The sequence below is a fragment of the Homo sapiens genome, chromosome 12, assembly GCF_000001405.40.
Source record: "Homo sapiens chromosome 12, GRCh38.p14 Primary Assembly".
In the NCBI taxonomy this organism is placed as follows: domain Eukaryota; kingdom Metazoa; phylum Chordata; class Mammalia; order Primates; family Hominidae; genus Homo; species Homo sapiens.
In genome coordinates, this window is record NC_000012.12 from 12,471,954 (window position 1) to 12,494,118 (window position 22,165).

The 22,165-nt window shown below is 42.8% G+C and overlaps 1 protein-coding gene across 7 annotated transcripts in view; it reads right to left on the bottom strand.

Moving 5' to 3' along the window:
* DUSP16 (dual specificity phosphatase 16) overlaps window positions 1,329–22,165 on the bottom strand; it is an 89,582-nt gene continuing 68,745 nt past the window's right edge. For all 7 annotated transcript variants that reach the window (NM_030640.3, XM_047429568.1, XM_047429570.1 and 4 more), the window contains 3 exons: window positions 15,075–15,234; window positions 8,270–8,393; window positions 1,329–6,062 (listed from right to left, as the gene is read on the bottom strand). In NM_030640.3, coding sequence (NP_085143.1) covers window positions 4,880–6,062; window positions 8,270–8,393; window positions 15,075–15,234 — 1,467 coding nt within the window. In that variant the 3' untranslated portion in view covers window positions 1,329–4,879. The remainder of the gene's footprint in view (window positions 6,063–8,269; window positions 8,394–15,074; window positions 15,235–22,165) is intronic.

Sequence of the window (22,165 nt, forward strand, 5' to 3'; positions counted from 1 at the left end):
AGAGTGAGCAGTAGCAAGATTTATTGCAAAGAGCGAAAGAACAAAGCTTCCACAGTGTGGAAGGGGACCCGAGCGGGTTGCCACCGCTGGCTCGGGCAGCCTGCTTTTATTCTCTTATCTGGCCCCACCCACATCCTGCTGATTGGTAGAGCCGAGTGGTCTGTTTTGACAGGGCACTGATTTGTGTGTTTACAATCCCTGAGCTAGACACAAATGTTCTCCAAGGCCCCACCAGAGTAGCTAGATACAGAGGGTTGATTGGTGCATTCACGAACCTTGAGCTAGACACAGGGTGCTGATTGGTGTGTTTACAAACCTTGAGCTAGATACAGAGTGCCGATTGGTGTATTTACAATCCCTGAGCTAGACATAAAGGTTCTCCAAGTCCCCACCAGACTCAGGAGCCCAGCTGGCTTCACCCAGTGGATCCTGCACCAGAGCTGCAGGTGGAGCTACCTGCCAGTCCCACGCCCTGTGCCCACACTCCTCAGCCCTTGGCTGGTTGATGGGACTGGGCGCTGTGGAGCAGGGGGCGGCGCTCGGGGAGGCTCAGGCCGCACAGGAGCCCACGGAGTTCGGGGAGGCTCAGGCATGGCGGGCTGCAGGTCCTGAGCCCTGCCCTGTGGGAAGGCAGCTAAGGCCCTGTGAGAAATTGAGCACAGCAGCTGCTGGCCCGGGTGCTAAAAGCCCCTCACTGCTCGGGCGGTGGGGCCAGCTGGCTGCTCCGAGCGCAGGGTCCGCTGAGCCCACGCCCACCTGGAACTCGCACTGGCCTGCAAGCACCGTGCGCAGCCCCGGTTCCCGCCCATGCCTCTCCCTCCACACCTCTCCCTCCACACCTCCCGGCAAGCTGAGGGAGCCGGCTCCGCCTTGGCCAGCCGAGAAAGGGGCTCCCACAGTGCAGCGGCGGGCTGAAGGGCTCCTCAAGTGCCGCCAAAGTGGAAGCCCAGGCAGAGGAGGTGCTGAGAGTGAGTGAGGGGTGTGAGGGCTGCCAGTGCGCTGTCACCTCTCACTAATTTCCCCTTAGTTTATTTTTTGTTTAAAATGGAGTTTCGCTCTTGTTGCCCAGGCTGGAGTGCAATGGCGAAATCTTGGCTCACTGTAACCTCCACCTCCTAGGTTCAAGCAATTCTCGTGCCTCAGCCTCCCAAGTAGCTGGGATGACAGGCACCCACACCTGGCTAATTTTTGTATTTTTAGTAGAGAAGGGATTTCACCAGGTAGGCCCGGTTGGTCTCAAACTCCTGACCTCAGGTAATCCACCTGCCTTGGCCTCCCAAAGTGCTGGGATTACAAGCGTGAGCCACCGCCCCCAGCCTCCCCTCTTAGTTTAATTCCTGGTCTAATTGTAGTTGTCACATCCAAACCAGTCCTCCAACAATAGCCTGCTGAGGCTGGTCATGAAGGGGCTCCGAGCACTGTCAGCAACTGGCCTGAACTTCAGGCTCTCCCAAGATCTGCATCTTCTCATTGGAAGCCTCTCACTGAAACAACTGTTCCTCCTGTTACCCTCTATCTCTGGAGGCTGATTTATTCTAATTCCCTTTATTCCTCTATCTCACTTCCACCTCTTTTTCTGCAGGGTCCTGGCCAAGATAGCTCTTCTAGTCTAGCTCACCCGGCCCAATCTTTCTTATAAATTTTCTTAAATGTAACTTCAACTCAACCAACTTCAAGGTCACCTGTGATTCTTTCTGTAGTCAATATTCCATCTGTTTGCACTGAAGCTTTATTCCTTCAATGCCTAATTTTTATGAAACTGATGAGACTAAGTTTCTAGTCTCATAAGTCATCAAATCTAGTGTCATGAGCAGAGAGGTTGTTGAGATGTATGTGGCAAGGACAAAGGACAGCTCTTCAACAATTGCCCTTCCTGTTTTTCCTGTAGGAATCGTAACATCATTTACATGTTATATCGAAATGGGCCATGTGTGTGTAGCTGGCCTTTTTTTTCCTACCATGTACTTGTGTGTTCTGGAATCAGTCAGCTAGAAAATATTTACCAAGTGTCTTAGGCTTTTTCACTGTAGTGTGCATTTAACGTACACAGTAAAGAATGAAGGCTGGCACTAAACTGTTAGCTAATCATCCGGTGTTCCATGTGAATGACAGAACACGGAATAAACCTGATGACACCACCACTTTATTTTGAGCTAAATCCTCATTTAAGTGAGAACAGGACAGGTTTCACCACTGCCTCCTTTGGCAACTTGAGTGGTGGTGTTCCCACCGAGTTTATGGCTGCAAAGATAGGTCTTTTCTCGTATTTATGTATAAACAGGTACCAGTTTTGATTTTATTTAATCATTTCATACATTAACATACATGACACATCAAAATGAGAAATGCACAGTTTAACCGTTCAACAGCTGGCCTTACTTCAAAAGAACACTATATTCATATTAAACATTTACAGTCTTTCCATCTAACTTTACACATGTCCTAAATCATTTTCCAGCACTTCTCACATAGAAGTCTAGTTTTGCTCTTTAAAATCACCATCTGTATCACCCCTAGTAGACGCGAGGGTTTCCCCAATTACATGCTGAAGAGAGCCAGCCACCACCCCACCTAAAGACATCCAAGCAGCTCCAGAGCCTGCCTCCGAGGCCACCCCTTCGCCACGGCAGTCTCGATTCCAAGAACTGATTATCTGACACTAGTGAACCAGCACTAAAGGCTGTAGGATGTGACTACATCACAGTTCCAGAAGGAAGGGGGACCATGGCCAAGAGAAGCCCTAAATGACAGAAGCTCATTAAAACCAAGTCCCCCAAACCTCCTGAAACATCGTTAGCAAGGAGCTACTGCTTTCCTTTCTTAAACATGTTTTGGGCATGACCACACTCTGGAAGTGGTGAACTGTTACACATTTGGTGTGTGTGTACATAACATCAAAAACTACTGTGTGAAACTTGAGAATGTCTGATTAAAGATTTCAATGTATATCTAAAAACTAACTCAAATCGTTGACCAGCACTTTCCCAGTATCATAACAATGCGGCTGACCCTCTTCTGCCTTCACTTTACACCCCATCATAGCACATTATTTGTGCACAACTAGTGAGGTCTGTGCGGCTCATCATCCCCATAACCAAGTCGGTCTGTGTTGAGTCATATCATTCTGTGCTGGTTTTAGAAGTCACCATAGGAAACATGAAGTCACATCCTGGTCAAAAAACTGTCCATTTCTCAAAAACAGAGAAAAACCTGAGATACGAGGCAGCAACTAGCGACACTTACAGGAAGGGAAAGAACAATGACAACACCCGCCCAGCCCCACCCCCAAAAAGCTGCTGTTGTGAATTAAGGCTTCAAAAGAGGACCCACATTGTAGCTGATAAAACTCAAGCCAGGAGGATGTTTGAAAGCCAATCTGCACTATCACTTGTTCCAGTGACCTCCTATGTTCAGCTGCCAGGACCGATTCCATACAGTGATTGTAGGTTGAGGACTGAGGACGCCCCTTTGCTCTCGCTCCATTTTGATTTGCTTTTTCCACTGAAGACACGCCGGCCAGCGTTTCCAAAAACAGCTTGGCCATGGCTTTGCACTCTATTCACAACTGATCAAAACTCAATGGTCTTCTCAGCTTTCTCAACCGTTTTATTCTGAATATTCCTTCCTCACTAAAGCCTCTCTCAGCCCTACTAGTAAATGTGAAAGTCTGAGGCAATCATAGAAACATCAGCCCCATCGCATGCCGAGGGGATAAAAGCCACTAAGGAAACAGGTTTCCTGCTTCTCCTCAGCAATTTGTACCTTTCTTAATCTTCCCATAATTTACCTCCCTAGGAAGTTTCCTATAAAATTCTGCCATATTATTACATTTTACCAACTGTATCCATGCAGTGAAGCAGAAAGGGCAAAAACATCTGCTTTGGCTGAGAATTTGAAGGTGCTGCTGCTCTGCTACCAACCCAAATAAATTCACATTTGGCTTGAAACCAAGTTCATCTTTATTTAAAGGATTGACAATCCCATTTTAAACAATTCTTTGATTTACAAAGAGGGAGGTAGACTCGTTAGCCTCCCAACCTTAGCTTAAATCGTGATGTTGCCAGGTTCCTGGTGGTTCAGCTGAATCCTAGACAGTTTCCCTTCTCTTCATAAAGCTGAGAAGAAAAAAAAATTATCTCCATCTAGGCCCACGGGAATTTTGTGCATAGACAGTTTGAATTGGTCTGAAAAGTGTGACTAGCTACCTACCTATTCACAATGCCTAGAAAATGGGCTACCAGATATGGTAGTGGTCAAAGCCCCGACTTTCCTGTCTGAGGTACTGGGTTTGCTCTAAGGTAGACCTTGGCAAGGCCCCTAATGGTCCGTCCAGCAGAGTGATGCTCGTGTCCCTCGGCTGTCAGGTGAGCGTGGGTTTGTGAATCAGCTTTGGATAGGATCATTTCTCTTGGATTTACCACTAGGCTCTGTCCCTAACAGGGTCTACCTACCTGACCCCCAAGCTGGCTCAGTCTCAGCGCTAAGGTGTACTATGGAAGGGTCCGGACAAAGACTAATATTTGAGATCTCTTAGTAGCACAACGTGAAAATGGTAGGGGATTTTGTCCTCCAACACCAAAGACACTTGCTTTTTTAAGAACAAGAGGATGTGTAATTCACTGAATAAAATGGTTTTCCTCCGTCTAGGGGGGATTCTAGCATCTGCCCTTCCATTTTTGTTGAGAGAAGTATTAGCTGATCTCTCAAATGCAGATGTTAAGAGAGTAACAACTGGGTTGATCCACCTGTTGCTTTTACACCATAGCTCCATTTTCCAAAAATATATATGTATGTACATATATATATTTCAGATTTACAGGGAATTTTTTTGTGAACAAGAAAAAAAAATTGTCTATAGAAGTCACAAGTGTCTTTCTTCTCAGGAGACCTCAATGATTTCCATGCTGCCCGAAAAGCTAGACTGACTGCCCACTTTCCCCAGCTCTTCCCGTGACCTGTTCTCTGACATGATGCTCTCTCCAAATTCCATTTGGCAGCTTCTGCGTTTAAACTGCTTTTCAAAGGGGCTCTCTTCATGCCAGCTCCGCCGCGAGTCAGCTCTGTCACTTGGCTTCTGCCGCCTGCGCACAGAATAGACTTGGTCTCCGCAAGTGGGCAGCTGGCTGCAGCTGTAGGCAGAGTAACTGGCACTGCCTCCGTAGATGGCTGAGGCAGAGTAGAAGTGTGAGGACTCTGTGGCAAAATACCAGCTGCTGGTCAGGGAAGGGGTAGAGGTCTGGGGGGCCAAGATATCCGAGTGCCAGCCCTTAAGGCCCAGGCCAGCAGACTTCGTGAGGTGCTGCTGGCTGGTGGAAAGGCCGAAAAGGAAGCTGGTGTGGTAATTGTCCTCCACGCTCCCACTTCGATGCAGTGGAGATAAAAGGGACCTCTGGGCGGTGCCACTGCTGCTGGTTCTGACCGAATGCAATCGCTTGCTCTGGCTGTCTGAAGGCCTGGCGGTCTGCAGCTTCTTGGGGATGCTGGCTTCCTCCTTATCAGGACTGGTTTCGGGAGTCTGCTCCGATAGTTCCTGAACAGGGGAGAACTGGCATAGCTTGTTGGTCCCATCCAGAGTAGTGGAAGGTTTGTAGTATTCCAAAGCATCTTCTGATGAGGAGAAGCCATGTAAGGATGCTGCCATGCTGGCTGAATATGAAACTGATTTGATATCCAGAGAGAAGGAACGCTTGAGCTTATTGCTGTCTTCCAGCCTGTCTGCGGACAGGTGCAGCCCACTGAGCGCCTGTACCAGCGGGCTGTCCTCTAACAGCGACGGCTGCACGCTGGGCACGCTGGGCACGCTGGCGGGATGCACGGGCCTTTGTCCTGCTGCCTCTGAGGTAGCAGAGTCGGCACAGGGTGGACTGAGGGGCGTCTCGCTTTTCTGTCCACCCTCTGAGACAGCAGGGACAGGTTCATTTGGCTTCTCCAGGTGCAGCAGCTTGAGTTTGCTCTTTGGCCCTGATGCTCCAGTCTGGTTCTTAATCTTCTTCTCATAGTCCAGGAGTTGGCCCAGAAAATTGAAGTTTGGAGATATAGTAGGTCTTTTTTCTTTCACAAATCTGCAGAGAGAGGAAAAAACAAAAACCCGAATTTTACAACTACACTTTATCTTAAGAATATTAAGTGAATAAATGAGATAGGGAATTATCAGGCAGACCTCAAAAACTTTGGAAGATGATTGGTTTACAAGTTCGGGGAGATGCTTCAAGGTGGAGAATACAAAGGCCCTAGGCACTGGGGAAGCTTTGCACACATCCTGGAGTATGCCAGAAGAGGCAGCTGGGCCCCAAAGGCTCTAGTTTTTGTCTCCTTATTTTCAAAGGCCCAGGGCTCCCAATGCAGCTGATAAGAGATGGTATGGGGTTTTGTTGGTGGTGGTCTTTTTTTTTTTTAAGAGACAGAGACTTGTTCTGTCGCCCAGGCTGGAATACAGTGGCATGATCATAGCTCACTGCAGCCTCGAATTCCTGGGCACGTGCAGTCCTCCCACCTCAGCCTCCTGAGTAGCTGGGATTACAGGACTACACGCTTGGCTAATTTTAATTTTTAAAGTTTCTTTTGTAGAGAAAGGGTCTCACTGTGTTGCCCAGGCTGGTCTTGAACTTCTGGGCTCAAGTGATTCTCCCACCTTGGCCTCCCAAAGTGCTGGGACTACAGGTGTGAGCCACCATGCCTGGCCAAGAGATGATTATTTATTCACCACCAAGGACACCCCTGACACACACACACCAGTGCTACCATCAAAAGTACAGTATAACAGCCACTCTCCTTCTTCAATTTCCAATGTCATCCCCTCTTAAAGTCACCAGTCACTTCTCAAGACAGTTCACATTTTAAATTTAATGACAAAAAGAAGATGGTATCAGATGATCAAAGTATCAAAGCAACACTTCTTTTTATAGTCAACATGACAGACTAACCAAGACAAAGTGGTCTCTGTGTGCTAAGCACTGTGCTTATGCACTGAATCATCATTTCATCCTCAGAACTACCCTTTATCAGGTGGGTGTCATTATCCCCATCATATAGCTCCACAGAATCCTTAAGTGACTTGCCCAAAATCACACAGCTACTAAATGATGGTGCTGGATTCAAAACCAGGCTGGTCAAATATCTGGGTCCATTTTTGTAACCACTATGTTAAAAAAAAGATTCATCAAAGGATCAAAACTAATACTAGATGGCTTTCATGTTTCATGGAGGAAATAAAGACTCAGAGATGACAGACCAATTCTTCAGCGGCCCCTGCACCTCATGGATACTTTTCAGGTGATGGAGGAGTAGAACTACACTGAAAATTTGCATTTGAATAAGGAACAAGGAAAAAAAAAACTTGGAAATCAAGTAACCTAAAGCAAATTCACAAAAATAGAAATAACTGGCTCAAGAATAACAAGTATAAATGTAGGGTGCTCATAATGAGACTTCATAACGTGATAGAAGGGTGCCTTTTCTTCTGATTTCTACATGGAGCAGGAGGACCTCAGGGAGGTCTGAACGGCGGCATGAGAGCTCGTGCAGATGACCAGAGGACCCACGTCCTCCAGGCTGCTGACTTAACATGGGAAGCTGTTTGGGCAGCTCATTTCTGTTTTCCAAACTTTGCAATTTGAGAAAAAAAAAATCCAACTGTTAAATCAGGCCTGCTCCATGAGTCTCTATATTTTTGATTCCTTATCAGATAAAAATGAACCATCTCTACCCAACGATACATGCAGGGGAGTCAGACAAATCAGAGACTGGAGGCAACCCAGTCAAAATCACACACACACAATCTGGCCGACTCTAGAATGTAGGAAATTTTACTGAAGAATGGAGTCTGACAGTTAATCTGGTTCATATTTGCATTTATGAGGCTTTTTCTTCCCAGCAATCCAAAGTTTGAAGCAGAACAGAGATTCTGCAGTGAGCATTCTATTAGAGCTTCCCCCCATCATATGCAAATTAAAACAAAGGATACTTTTGCATTTAGGGAAAGCAATAAACTCATGTAACAGGATAGAGATCTCTGCCTGGATCTGTTGTTCCTTAAACATAAAAAGTGGCTGAGGATGAGTCTGACACATGTGAAGGCAGAATTAATGCTAAATAGTAAAACAGCATTCTTTTCCAATCTTCACAAGACCATTAAAAAATCCACAGTAACCTGTAAAAAATGTGACTAAAATAATCATGATCTGCTTTAATTTGGTTACCCATCCTCATCATTCTTTATGTTTCAGGTCAAATGAAAAGCCAATCACAGAAGACATTTTCCTGCCCTCACCTGTAAGCTTCATCTAAAGACATGTCCATCCTCTTCATGATGTAGGCGATAGCGATGGTGGCGGAGCGGGAGATCCCAGCTAAACAGTGCACTAGAACACATCCATTGGAGGCTTTTGCTTTCTCTGTATAAGTCAAATGCAAGAAAGGTCACTACTAACTATTTTGTTCAGCAGTGAAATCTTGTTTCCATTTACTTACTCAGTGTCTTCCACCTGAAAACCTCTACGCAAATCTCATCTGTGTATATCATATTTATCCTCGCAATATTCTTTTGAGGAGGCAGGGGAAGATAATTCCCTCACCACTGACATGCAGGACAACTGGGGTCCAAAACTGTTTGTTAATAAGCAATTCGTTAATAAGCAAGCTACTACTAACTCAGGTTTCCTGACTTATGTTAGTATTTTCCCCTAAGATATGGGTAATATTTAATATATTCCTGTTATCTGACACTTCAAATTTTTCCCTGATTACCTAAGAAATATAATTACATTTTTTAAAATCATTATTACTATTTTGAGATAGAGTCTTGCTCTGTCGCCCAGGCTGGAGTGCACGATGTCGGCTCATTGCAATCTCCGCCTCCCGGATTCAAGTGATTCTCCTGCCTTAGCCTCCAGAGTAGCTGGGATTACAGGTGTGCAGCACCACGCCTGGCTAATTTTTCTATTTTTAGTGGAGTTGCGGTTTCACCATGTTGGGCAGGCTGGTCTCTAACTCCTGGCCTCAAGTGATCCGTCCACCTCAGCCTCCCAAAGTGCTGGGATTACAGGAGTGAGCCACTGCCCCTGGCCTCCCTATTTTAAGCAACTTTTCTGTATGTCATAAAATGGCTCAACTTTATTTACTGAGTTTTAGAAGAAAACCTTGTATAGGCTATGAATCAGGTTTAGCAGGTCACTTTAATGAGATCCAAGAGAACTTTTATCCCTTCCTTGATACCAGGAGTTATTGTCTTATGGCATTATCTCAATTCCCCACAACATGATGGAAGGACTCACGGACACTTTGTTAGAACCAAAGAACCAAGGAAATCCAAGCAGTGCTGCCATCTCTCACTGCTGAGGGGCTTAACAATATGTACATGTGGCAGGGGACGAGGTTATTCCACACAGCCTGGAAGCTACTAACATTCTGGCCAGTTCCATGACTGCCTCAATTCTAAATAATTACATGTGTGCTCAGTCATGAAGCTGAATTCTCCCCTTTTCATTCTTGGTAGATACTACCAAAAGTCTACTGAACCTTGTGTTAAAATTCTTGCGATTAACAGATGCGCAAAGAATCTTACTTTGGCAGCTGAATAATACAAAGCTATTCAATCTCACTGCCTATGCTATAAATATAAGTTTCTAGTGTAATGATTATTATATATAACATAATTATTCATCATATATAAAGCAACATACAGGTTTTGGGTAGCATATGAATAATTAAGCAGCAAGCAGCTTCCCTTCTAGATCAGGAAACCAAACACAATAAAACACTAACAAATGAATACCAAGCAACACTCAAACAAAGAATTGCATGCTATACAAGTAAGAACATATAAACTCGTGTACACAGTCTCATGCCTTCCTGTGCCTCCAGCATCCCCTTCCTTCTCAGCTATCATTTACCCCACGTTACTCTCAGTGTTTCCTTCCCTTTCTGCCCTACTGCTAAGAAGCTCAAAGCTAAGGTTTCTACTCAATTTCAATAAGAAGTAGCAATTCAGACTTTTTGTCAGTTACTGTACATTTCCTAGCCCCTATTACTTGATTATTGCTCCTTTATACCATTATAATGTGTATGTGTGAGAATATGTGTATCTTTTGGTTCTAACCTATTATTGAAAACTGCTTCAAATCCTTACTGGAAGGAGTCTGGGTTTTTGTTTTTTAATGTTGACAATACTCTCTCATTAATTTTAATAATTATCTATCTCAAAACCTAGATTATAAGGACCTAGAAGGATCTTGCTTGCTTCTAACAATCCCCCAAAAGACTTAACGCTAGGCACATGGTAGGCATCCAGCTGATACTGGCTGATACATATTTTCAAAAGAGATTTTAATAAAAAAAGAAGAAGGCTGGAAGGAAATAAAACAATGACAGTAACATGCGTTACGATGTTGAGGTTATAGGTTTCCTTTTCTCTGTTTTTCAAATTTTCTGCAATGTGCTTACAACTGTTTTTATAACCACAACTCTTTTGATGACGTCTTTTAAAAATGAAAAAAACAAGTGACTATACTGGAGTTGAGGTTCACCAGCATGCATCTTGGGAGACATGAGCCCTAAACTGTGTCTTCAAGCAAAGGAATTAATTTAACACACACAACTGGCAGAGAGGAGAAGGGAAATGTGTGCGAGAAAGCCCTGCAGTGGGACTGAGCAAAGTGCTCATTCGAAAACAGCCTGCCTTGGAGAAGAAACCAGAGAGAAGGTTTGAGAAGGTTTCAAAGGTGGGAAGCAGGTGTTTGAGGGTGGTGGGAATGTTAGGCTAAGGGCTACATTTGTTTTTTCAGACAGGGTCTCACTCTGTTCATCCAGGCTGGAGTGCCATAGTGCAAACATAGCTCACTGTAACTGTGAGCTCCTAGGCTCAAGCGATCCTCCTGCCTCAGCCTCCCAGCTAGGACTACAGGTGCACACCACCATGCCTGGCTAATTTTTGAAAATTTTTTGTAGAGACAGGATCTTGCTATGTTGACTAGGCTGGTGTCAAACTCCTGGCCTCAAGCAATCCTCCCGCCTCCGCTTCCCAAAGTGCTGTGATTGATTACACACGCTGCACCTGGCCAAGGCTACCTTTTTAACGCAGAAAACTAAGAAGCCTCTTCAGGTTTCTGAATAAAGAACGAGAAGGCAATGATGATGAAAACTGGAAACAAGCAGGTGGCCATTACCGCAATTAAGGCTAAAATCTAGGTTAAGAAAGGGGAGAGAGAACTGCAAATGAAAAGGGCAAAGATGCAGTGAGGATGAGAAGTTACAAAAGCTAAAAAGAAGGAAGTAATACTAAGAGGTGTTACAGAGTCCAGCTCAAAGGACAGAAAAAAGGAGGAACTTCAGATAACAATTTTTAAAATACTTATTAACAGCCAATTATGAGTCAGGTACTTTACAAGGTGTTCAATGGACATTATCTATTTTACTTATTTTTATTTTATCTTTTTGGTTTACTTTTTTTCTTTTTTTTTCATTTTACATTATCTATTTTAATCCTCACAATATCCCTGTAAGGTAGGTATATTACCTTCAGTTTCCAGATCAAGAAACTGAAGTGCACAGAAGTTTGAAGTAACTTACTCAAACCACTTCACTAATAACCAGGGTAGGCAGGACTCAAATACAGACAGTTTGCCTCCAAAATACATGGTCCTAATCACCTCCCTATGTTGTGTCCATGCAGTCACGAGTTTGGCATGAGGAGAGCTGGAGGAAGAGCCCAGGAGACAGTGAAGAGGAAGCAAGAGGCTGTATATGTAGCCAGCTGGGTTTGGGGGCACCTCATGAGTATCCCATAGCACAAACGGGCAAACTCTGTTACTGGCACATTAACTAAAAGACAAAACTCCACATAAACCTGAGTCCTTCCAACCAACCCGGAGACTTACCCAAATCTAATCTAAATAACAACAACAAAAAAGAAAAAATCACTATGAGCCTGTAAGTCATTAAGGGGGTACATCTTCAAATGACATGCTATCACTAACCATGGCTTAAAACCCCACAGATCCCTAAAACTTAAAGTATAATAATAAATAAAAATAAAAAAATTTAAAAATTAAAAAAAAATTTTACATTTATCTTTAAGAATTTGTGTTTGAGAATAATTAGCTCTTGCCATTCTACTACTCTGTATGTATGTGGGTTATCATTCTTGTGTCTTTCTTCTGCTTGAGTAAATAAAAAGCAAGAACAACAACAAAAAACCCCACAGAGGAGAAGACTTAGCAATTGTAGTGAATATGGGCTGAATTCAAAAAGTGGCCTGGAGATTTTGCCTTGAATTACTTGGGTGGGATAAGGATGATGGCTCTAATAGAACCAAGCAAATGAAATACTGATAAGTATTTGCAGATATTACAAATAAATTATAATATGTATTTTGTGTGTATGTGTTTAACCAAGTTGCAAAGTAGTTAAAGTTCTTTTGTATGAATGAAAGTGGCAGGATGACCCCAATATCTTCCATGAAAGGAAAAAATAAGTTGGGAGCAAAGTTATTCATATTCTCTATTCTCTTCTCTTTTCTACTAAACTTTGTCTCCTAAAGCCCACACATTGTCATGACTTAAGAAAATCATGTTCTCTTCTAGGTAGATTTTGATATCTGATTTTTAGCTGAAATTAGAGCCAATGTCTCTGGAAGTGACGTGCAATGGGAACATTAACCGTAATTTATTTTTTTTATTTTTATTTTTTTTGAGACAAAGTCTCACTCTGTTGCCAAGGCTGGAGTGCAATGGCGTGGTCTCGGCTCACTGCAACCTCCACATCCCAGGTTCAAGAGATTCTCCTGCCTCAGCCTCCCAAGTAGCTGGGATTACAGGTGCCCGCCACCATGCCCGACTAATTTTTATATTTTTAGTAGAGACGTGTTGGCCAGGCTATCGCAAACTCCAGCAACCTCAGGTGATCCCCCCATCTCGGCCTCCCAAAGTGCTGGGATTACAGGCGTAAGCCACCATGCCCAGCCAATTGTTATTTTTTAAAGAGACAAAAACAATGATTTGCTGAATGTTTTTTAGAAGTACAATGGGAGGGTGTGTGTTAACTTGTGGGGGTTTGTTTGTGATTTTTTTTTTTTTTTTTGAGATAGAGTTTCACTCTGTTACCCAGGCTGGAGTGCAGTGGCGCGATCTTGGCTCACTGCAACCTCCGCCTCCTGGATTCAAGCAATTCTCCTGCCTCAGCTTCCCAAGTAGCTGGGACTACAGGCATGTGCCACTACGCCCAGCTAATTTTTGTATTTTTAGTAGAGGTGGGGTTTCACTATATGTTGGCCAGGCTGGTCTCGAACTCCTGACCTCAGGTGATCTGCCAGCCTCGGCCTCCCAAAGTGCTGGGATTACAGGCGTGAGCTACCTGGCCATTTGTTTGTGATTACTTTAATATGAACTAAGTCATTTATCTTCAGATGTTTCACAGAATGAATCCTAATTGAAGATGAAACCCTCAGCAACCTGGAAATCTTGAAAAAAAGGCAAGTGTTTTGGAATTACTTAAAGTTCCAAAAGCATTAAATAGAATATTCCCCTCACAGGTGAAAATTATAATATGGGGCTTAATATACATAATTCCACTTTTTGTTTTTGAGACAGGGTCTGGCTCTACTGCCCAGGCTGGAGTTCAGTGGCACAATCTCAGCTCACTGCAACCTCCGCCTCCTGGCTCAAGCAATCCTCCCACCTCAGCCTCCCGAGTAGGCGGGACCACAGGTGCACTGGTAGAGACAAGGTTTTGCTATGTTGCCCAAGCTGGTCTCGAACTCCTGGGTTCAAGTGATTGCTTGCCTCGGCTTGTTAAAGTGCTGGGATTAAGGCATAAGCCCCTGTGCCTGGCCAATTCCACTTTTTTTTTTTTTTTTTTTTTTTTGGAGACAGAGTCTCACTCTGCTGCCTAGGCTGGAGTGCAATGGTGCAATCTTGGCTCACTGCAAGCTCTGCCTCCCGGGTTCATGCCATTCTCCTGCCTCAGCCTCCCGAGCAGCTGGGACTACAGGTTCCTGTCACCTCGCCCAGCTAATTTTTTGTATTTTTAGTAGAGATGGGTTTTCACTGTGTTAGCCAGGATGGTCTCAATCTCCTGACCTCATGATCCACCCGCCTAGGCCTCCCAAAGTGCTGGGATTACAGGCGTGACCCACCGCGCCTGGCCAATTCCACTTTTTTGAAAGAACTAGTTCTTTTATTTTTAATTATGGTAATGGTAACCAATTCAGAGTAATTATGGATTAGGGTGCTCCAACTTATGTAACTGGGGGAAAAAAAATTCCTTACATGGAACATCAAGAGTCACTGTGGTATGTTGCTCAGGAGCTAGCAGTGTTTCTCCTCTGCTCAGCCACTGTCCACTAAAGCCACATTCCAAATACACATCACCAAGTTACCACCCAGCAGATCTGATCCTGTGGCACCAAAATGCCTCAGCAGTAAGTACCCAGGGGCCAGAGAAGCTCCAGAATTGAACAAGCCCAGGAAGCACAACAAAGTATGGCACAGATGAGATCCCGTCAAGACCATTGCCAGGAAAATAACCAAATGAGAGTGTGTGTGTGTGTGTGTGTGTGTGTGTGTGTGTGTGAAAATTCTGTTAGATCAAACACTACCTGAAATTATTGGCATGTGGACCCCGGCTCAGAAACACTGACATAAAGACTTAAATGTAATGGGATTTGTTTTCAAAAGATTTGACTTTTCTCTGTAAAAAACACAGCAACAAGGCAACAGGGAATATTACCAAAGTTTCCCAAAGGCTTGTATAGGATTTGAAAAAGTTGGGGGAAGAATTTAACCCTAAAAGCTTAACTGATTTTCAAACACCTGCAAATACATAATTACAGATCCTGTGAAGCTTAACCTTGGTGGTGTTAAATGTTAGCTAGAATGTCACAAGGCCAGTCCTTAGGGACAGTGTGACACACACGTCACCTTGACCACCAGATGAGTAAGCTGCACCACGTGCTGTTTTCAGACTTTTGAAATCTCTGAAATAGGCTCCTTTTCTCTAAAGAAAAAATGGGGGGCTGAGGGGGTTCACCTACACATGAGACGATCACCCACAGGACCTGCAATATTATTTGAGCTACTTACCAATGAAATCTACTGATTTGTCCAACCACGGCAAAATTTTCTCACAAAAGCTGTCATTCACAGGCACACGCAGGAAATGAGACTCGGGGATAAAGTCAGGCTTTGGACAGGTATTGCTGGCATTTAACACATAACCAATCCCATTCTGCTGCATCAGCTCCTATGGAGAGAAAGAGTAGCAGTTAAAGTGACTAATAATATAGTAAACATGATCATTCTGAAAGAGTGAAGTTTAATGTGATGATAAAAATGCCCAGTTTCCTTGAAATATAATTCATTCAGATCAGTGAAGTCCAAAAACCTAGCAAAATGACATCTAGAGACAAGTTTAAAGAAAAAAAAAAATTTAAGGACAACAAACGCTATTTAAAATAGTATGCTTGAAGCCCACACATCATTCATATAGTCAAGTCTCTATTATCTTCATTACTAGAGAGAGAAGTGGAACAAAGAATACAAAAGAAAACAACAGTTTATATGATTTTAGAATATATGGACACACAACATTTTCTTCCCACACGGAACACGCTGGTTCTCTAAGATACAATTCTAGTCATTCTTCTCACTCTAAATACTCTCTTTGAAGGCTGCACTTACTTCTGTAGTCTTAATTACCAGTTCTACATGCTGATGGCGTGTGTGTGTGTGTCCTCTTAAATTTCCAACCCGTATCTCCAACTACCTACTGACTATCAGGATGTTCCACAGGCCCTTCACATTCAAAATGTCAGAAACTAAACATATTCTCTTTTTCCCTTTTCTGCCCCCAACTCCTGCCTCCTCTCTGTAATCCCCAAATTGGTTTAGGGTAATAACATCGACCCAGCCAACTAAGCTCGAGAATAAAATGGGGCTCCTTTCTCTTCCCCATGACCCTCATCCAAATGGCTGCCAAATCCTTTTGGAATAACCTCTTCCATTGATCCTCTCTCCTCTCTATACCCATTCACTGCTCAGTAGCCAAGATAACCAAAAAAGCCACCAGGAGCTCTTGAAGTTTGCAGTGGTTTTCTCTCCAAACCATGTTCTGAACAACTAGAGGAATCTTTGTTATGATTAACCCCAAGCTGGGTGCTTTATCCACATTCTTTTCATTTCCTTGAGTCTCATTTCCTGCTCCTGTCCCATATAGCACCCCCAACGTCAAATGTATACCCACCCTCTGTTCACACGATTCCTGTGCTTAGAAGGCCCTGTCCTTCTTCCAGAAGACACTCTTCCCACTTTTCCTACTTTAACCTCATCTGTGAACTCTTTCCCACTCATGCATAATTAACCATTCAGTTCTCTGTCCTTCCAAAGTACTTTGTTCACACCATTAATTAAGCACCTACCATAGTGTGTTACCATTAACAGATAATTCTCATCTCCCCTGTTATGTAATGAAGTAATGAGTAAGATCTTGGACCGCGTCTTGTTTTTGCACCTTCAGCCCAGCTATAGAATTGCACTCAAAACAATCTGTTCAACTGACATCCATCCACCATTTAGCAGGCAAGCCCACACAAACCCGCTTCATTTAGTCATCCCCCTGCTGCCTCTCAGGAGACGTTCCAAGCCTGGAATAATTATCTTAGTCTAAGCAATCTTGGTCATTTCTTCCTTCTCTTGGAATACTACCTTTTCTACAAATCTTTTCCAACTACCTGAAAGAAAATGGGCAATTTTCTTCCTATATTACCCTTCTGAAACATGCCAGTTCCCTAATCTCTTCATTTACTACATTTGGCACAATAAATATACTTTATTTTACATAAAAGGTGAACAGCAGCCGGGCGCAGTGACTCATGCCTGTAATCCCAGCACTTTGGGATGGCCGAGGCAGGAGGATCACCTGAGGTCGGGAGTTTGAAACCAGCCTGACCAACATGGAGAAACCCCAACTCTACTAAAACTACAAAATTATCCAGGTGTGGTGGCACATGTCTGTAATCCCAGCTACTCGGGAAAGTTGAGGCAGAAGAATCGCTTGAACTCAGGAGGCAGAGGTTGTGGTGAGCTGAGATCGCGCCATTGCACTCCAGCCTGGGCAACAAGAGCAAAACTCCATCTCAAACAAACACACAAACAAAAAAGTGGACAGCATAAATCCAGATTGTGTATGCAACCATCTCTTATCTCTGAGATGACAATGTCAATAAACAGCTTTTGGAACTAGGTGGATTTCTTAGATTGGCCAACACCCTTCAGCTATGCCAGAGCCCAAGTCTTCTGATGGTCTCATGCTTCTGTTAGGTTAACAATCAGGCTACGTAGATCTTAATGGTATTTACTACAACCTTTAAACTTTTGTACATGTAGCAAAGGTTACATTTGTTTTTCTATGTGTGAACCCAAGGTGAGTTTATCTAGTACTATCTGATCAACAACAGGGTGCAGAAACTGATTCAGGATCACTCATGTAAGAACAGAAGTGGGTCACTGGAGTTAAATCAGCCTTTGAGGACTTTCTCACCAATAGTCCTTTCCACCAACGGTACTACATTTTTCTCCTTTCCACCAATGGTACTACAGATATGTTAAATTAAAAGTAAAGGAATTAGTAATATCCCTATCCACTCAATTCAATAATGAAGAAATTACAGAAGTTTCTGAGAAATGAGGTGACTCTAATAGTGTTACACACTGTACACAATCAAAAGACAACAGGAAATTCTAAGAGAAAACATGTTGCAAGTCAATAAGGACTGTCAAAATTGATTTTCCATAGAAAAAATACGATGTACACTTCTGACAAGTAAACTTAATAGCCTACATTTTAAAGAAATGACAACCTATATTAAGTCAAAAAATATTTATTGAGCACCTTTGTTAGAGACCTTTTAATTAGACAATGACACACGGTACTGATTAAGAAAATCATATCTAACATTTAATGAATGCCTACAATGTGCCAGGTACTGTATTAAGCATTTAAATGGACTGTCTCATTTAATTCTCACAACCACCCTTTGATGTGGGTTCAATTATTGACCTCCTGGGGTCAAGTGATCCACCTGCCTCAGACTCCTGAGTAGCTGGAACTACAGGCATGTGCCACTGCTCCCCTCAAATTTTTAAACATTTTTTTTGTAGAGACAGGGTCTCGCTGTATTGTCCAGGCTGCTCTCAAACTTATGGCCTCAAGCGATCCTCCTACCTTGGCCTCCCAAAGTGCTTGGATTATAGGCATGAGCTACTGTATGCAGCTAGTAAAATATTTTAAACGCAAAATGGACTGAGAAAAAATTAAATAATTTCAATGGCTTTATTTATAAAATTTTTAGCTTAAAAGGTCTATTGATTAAATCTACTATCCAGATGCTACCTGAAAATTTTTTTGGAATAGTAAGATGGGACTTGATAAATAAAACAAGTACAATTTGTAAAAACAAACAAACCAAAAACAAAAAAAAACCCTTAAATACTTAATATAATTTGGCTACTAAATTAAATATCATAAATAAGTGCCTTCTTATCTGGATTGGTAGTCAGTGGAAAAAGTCAGTTAAGGGGGAAATCATTAAAAATGATATATACATACTCGAAACATCATTTTAACTTAAAACAAATAAACATGCATGAATACACTGATTTCTGATGCAGGACCACAGCTTCTTGTTTTCTAGGTTAGCTGACTGGAGTTCGTAAGCAAATCACACCTAAGTGCATCTACCACTTCTACTTTTCATTTTTTAAAGAAGAGCAGGAACTTGTAAAACACTATCAGTGCCAAAGCCTTCTAGATTAAAACTGTCCCCCAAATACTTTACAGCTCCCTTATTCCCACCTAATTTGACAAACATATATATGGCAATCTGTCTTTCCTGAATCTTTCCAAAACACCTGACTTAGGTCACAGAAAAGCATCCCTCTTCCTTCACATTTCATTGGTGTATGTCCTATTTTAATTAACATACATAATTATAATAACAAGTCCAGTGGCCTAAAGTTCGAGAACAAACACAACTGATTCTTGGTAAGTATACTATTCAAATGGTGGAGGCAGACGTGCTACAGCAAAGAGCCCACTCATGCAGCAGGCATTCACCTTCCAAAGATGTGGGGAAAAGATGTCGTGAAATCTCTGGAGTCAGTTAAGAAAGTTTCTAAAGTTTCATGTAACTGTTGTTAGTTTGCTCTCTTGATTTTTTTAATTTTTTTTTTTTTTTACAAACTTCAATACAAATGGCTGGGAGGGGATCTTAATTTTTGTTGGTGTTTTTAAGACACAGGGTCCCACCATGTTGTCCAGGCTAACCTCAAACTCCTGGATTCGAGTGATCCTCCCGTCTCAGCCTCCCGAGTAGCTGGGATTACAGGCGTGTGCCACCATACCTGACTCATCTTATTGTTTGTAATGGTGAAACTGAGATGGAACTATAATTATGAAGAATGAGTCTGATTCTTTTGTGGAATAAGGATTGCTTTTATTTATAGATACGTATCAATGACTTCTTACTAAATTATAAAAAGATATTTATATAATTCATTCAGTTTAGTTTCAGCATGCTGTATAAAACATACACAACTGAATATTTACTCTGCCCTATAATTAAACATCATAATCTTTAAGCTTCTAGAGAGCAGTCACCATATGCTGTTAAATATTTAGCTCAACTTTGTGCTAAGTCTGCAAATACACACTTTCTACTGATTAGATAATCCTTCTTCACTGGCCTTCAAAGATCCTTCCAACACCTTGGCCTCACAGTTCTTTGAACTCCTCATCTTGGCCTCTCACTCTCATGAGATCTAGCCTGGTCTCTGTCATTACCAATTACCACAAACCCTCCATAATCTTGATTTCATGCACCCTTCCACTTTCCAGCTCACTCAAGATCTCTTATACTACACTACACCCAGAATCTGTAAACCCCTGCAGGAGGACCTACAGTCTGATGATCTACTAATTTTCTCTGTCCTTCATCCCCATGATGTCTGTCTGCCTTCCTTGCCCAATGTAAATTCTATAATCAGTTATTACAATCACTCCTTTCCTTTTACCCCAACTTCCTCTGCCCTCATCAATTGTTCGTACTCACTTGGCAAGATTACAACCCTAGTTAAGTCTAATTCTCCACCTAGTCAGCACTGCCCATGCCACTGAACATGGCCAGAGAAAAACACTCCACAATGCTACCTGATCTAACTTTCAATTCATACTCCTCAGCAATCTCTGTATTTCCCCAGTCCATTCACTTTTTCTCTTTCCCATATGCCATTCTGTTTCCCTTTTTCTTCAAACTCCCTATATGTCCCCACTCATCTTCACTCACAGCTGAAGAATGACCTTGCTTCCTACTACAATGGAAAAACTGAAACAGTCAGAGGCAAATTTTGATAGACTTCCATCACCACATTTACCCATCTCTCAGCAAATGCGCCCAGATATAATGCCTTCCCACCTGCTGTTTTGGGCGAACTGTCCATACTCGTAAGGCCAATCCCTCCGCTTGCTAAATAAATCCATCCCCTCTTGCTCAAGAACATAGCTTTGTGATTCTCCTTTCTCCTACATCAATTTTCCACTGTACAGGATCATTCTTCCTACCTGCAATCAAACAAACCATTATTTCTCCCACCTTAAAAATATCTCCTCTCAGCTTCGCGTCTCCCTCCAGCCATTACCCCATATCTTTGAAATTCCTTGAAAGAACCCCTTCTACTTGATATCTCCAGCTCCACTCCTCCTGTTATCTCCTGAACCCACTCCATTCAGGCTTTCACCCCCAACACTCTACCAAAACTGCTCAATGATCACCAGCGATAGTCATGTTGCTAAATCCAATGACCAATTCTCAGTCTTCATCTTTCTTGACCTAAAGTACTACTTGGCACACTCGACTGCTCCTTCCTCCTGGAAAACACGTTGTTTATTTGCCTCCCTGATTACTTGATTTCCTTCCTTCCTCAATATTTACTTCTCAATATTCTTTGTTGGGTCATTCTCAACTCCCCAGACTTTCAGGGTGGGAGTGCTCACGGCTCAATCCTTTTCTCATCTATATTTTGCCTCTTAGTAATTATCTGATCATCTCTTATGACATCAAGTACTGTCTGTATGTTAATGACTCCCACCTTTATACCTCCTCCTTCAGGGATCCCCCTGCCCCATTCATACATCCATCTGTCTACTCAACATCTCCACTTGGAAGTATAACAGGCATTTCGAACTCAGCGTGTCCAGAACTGACTCCTGCCCTTCCTACAGACTCCATCTCAGTTAATGGCAACTGCATCTCCGAGTCTCCTTGACACCTCTCTTTTTCACACACCCCTACCATCCAATCCTATTGGCTATACCTTCAATATAGAGCCCAAATCTCACCATTACTGCCACCTTGACTTCAACACATTACCATGGAGCCTCCTAACCGGCCTTCCTGCTTCCATCCAGTAGGAAATTCAGGCTATTTTCAACACAGAAGCTAAAGTGATCCTAACAATGTAAGTCAGATTATGTTGCTCCTCTGCTTGGAACCTTCCAATGACTCCCTCTGAACTCTTTTTCTCAGAGTAAAAGCTCCCGTCTTTCCAAGTCCTATGCAGAAATCTTGTATTGTCTGGATCTGCTCCTGTTACCTCTCTGACGACACTCTCCCATGCTCACTCTGCTCCAGCCACACTGGCCTCGCTCTTCCTTTAGCATACCACATGTGCTTTGCCTTGGTGGCTTCTTCTGCCTGTACTGCTCTTCCTCCAGATATTCAAATGGCTTACTCTTTGACCTCCTTTGAGTGTTTGTTCAAATGCCTCTATCTCAATTAGGCCACTTTGATCACCCATTTAATTACAACCCACACCTCACAGGTAATCCCCAGCCCTCTTACCCTGTTTTCTTCATAGCACTCATACTGTACTATACTATGTAATTTACCTATTTATTATGCTTCCTATCAAGTTTCTTTCTCCTAGGATGTAAGCTAATGAAAGCAGAGATTATTGTCTCATTTCCTGGTGTACCCCCAGCACCTAGAACACTGTTTGGCACATGGTAGAGGCTCAATAAACATTTGTTGGGCGAATACATGAACGAACCCTTATCCCTGAAGCTGACTAAAATCAGTATCTAGTAACTGGTTTATTAGCATCTTCTAATGAGAAACCTT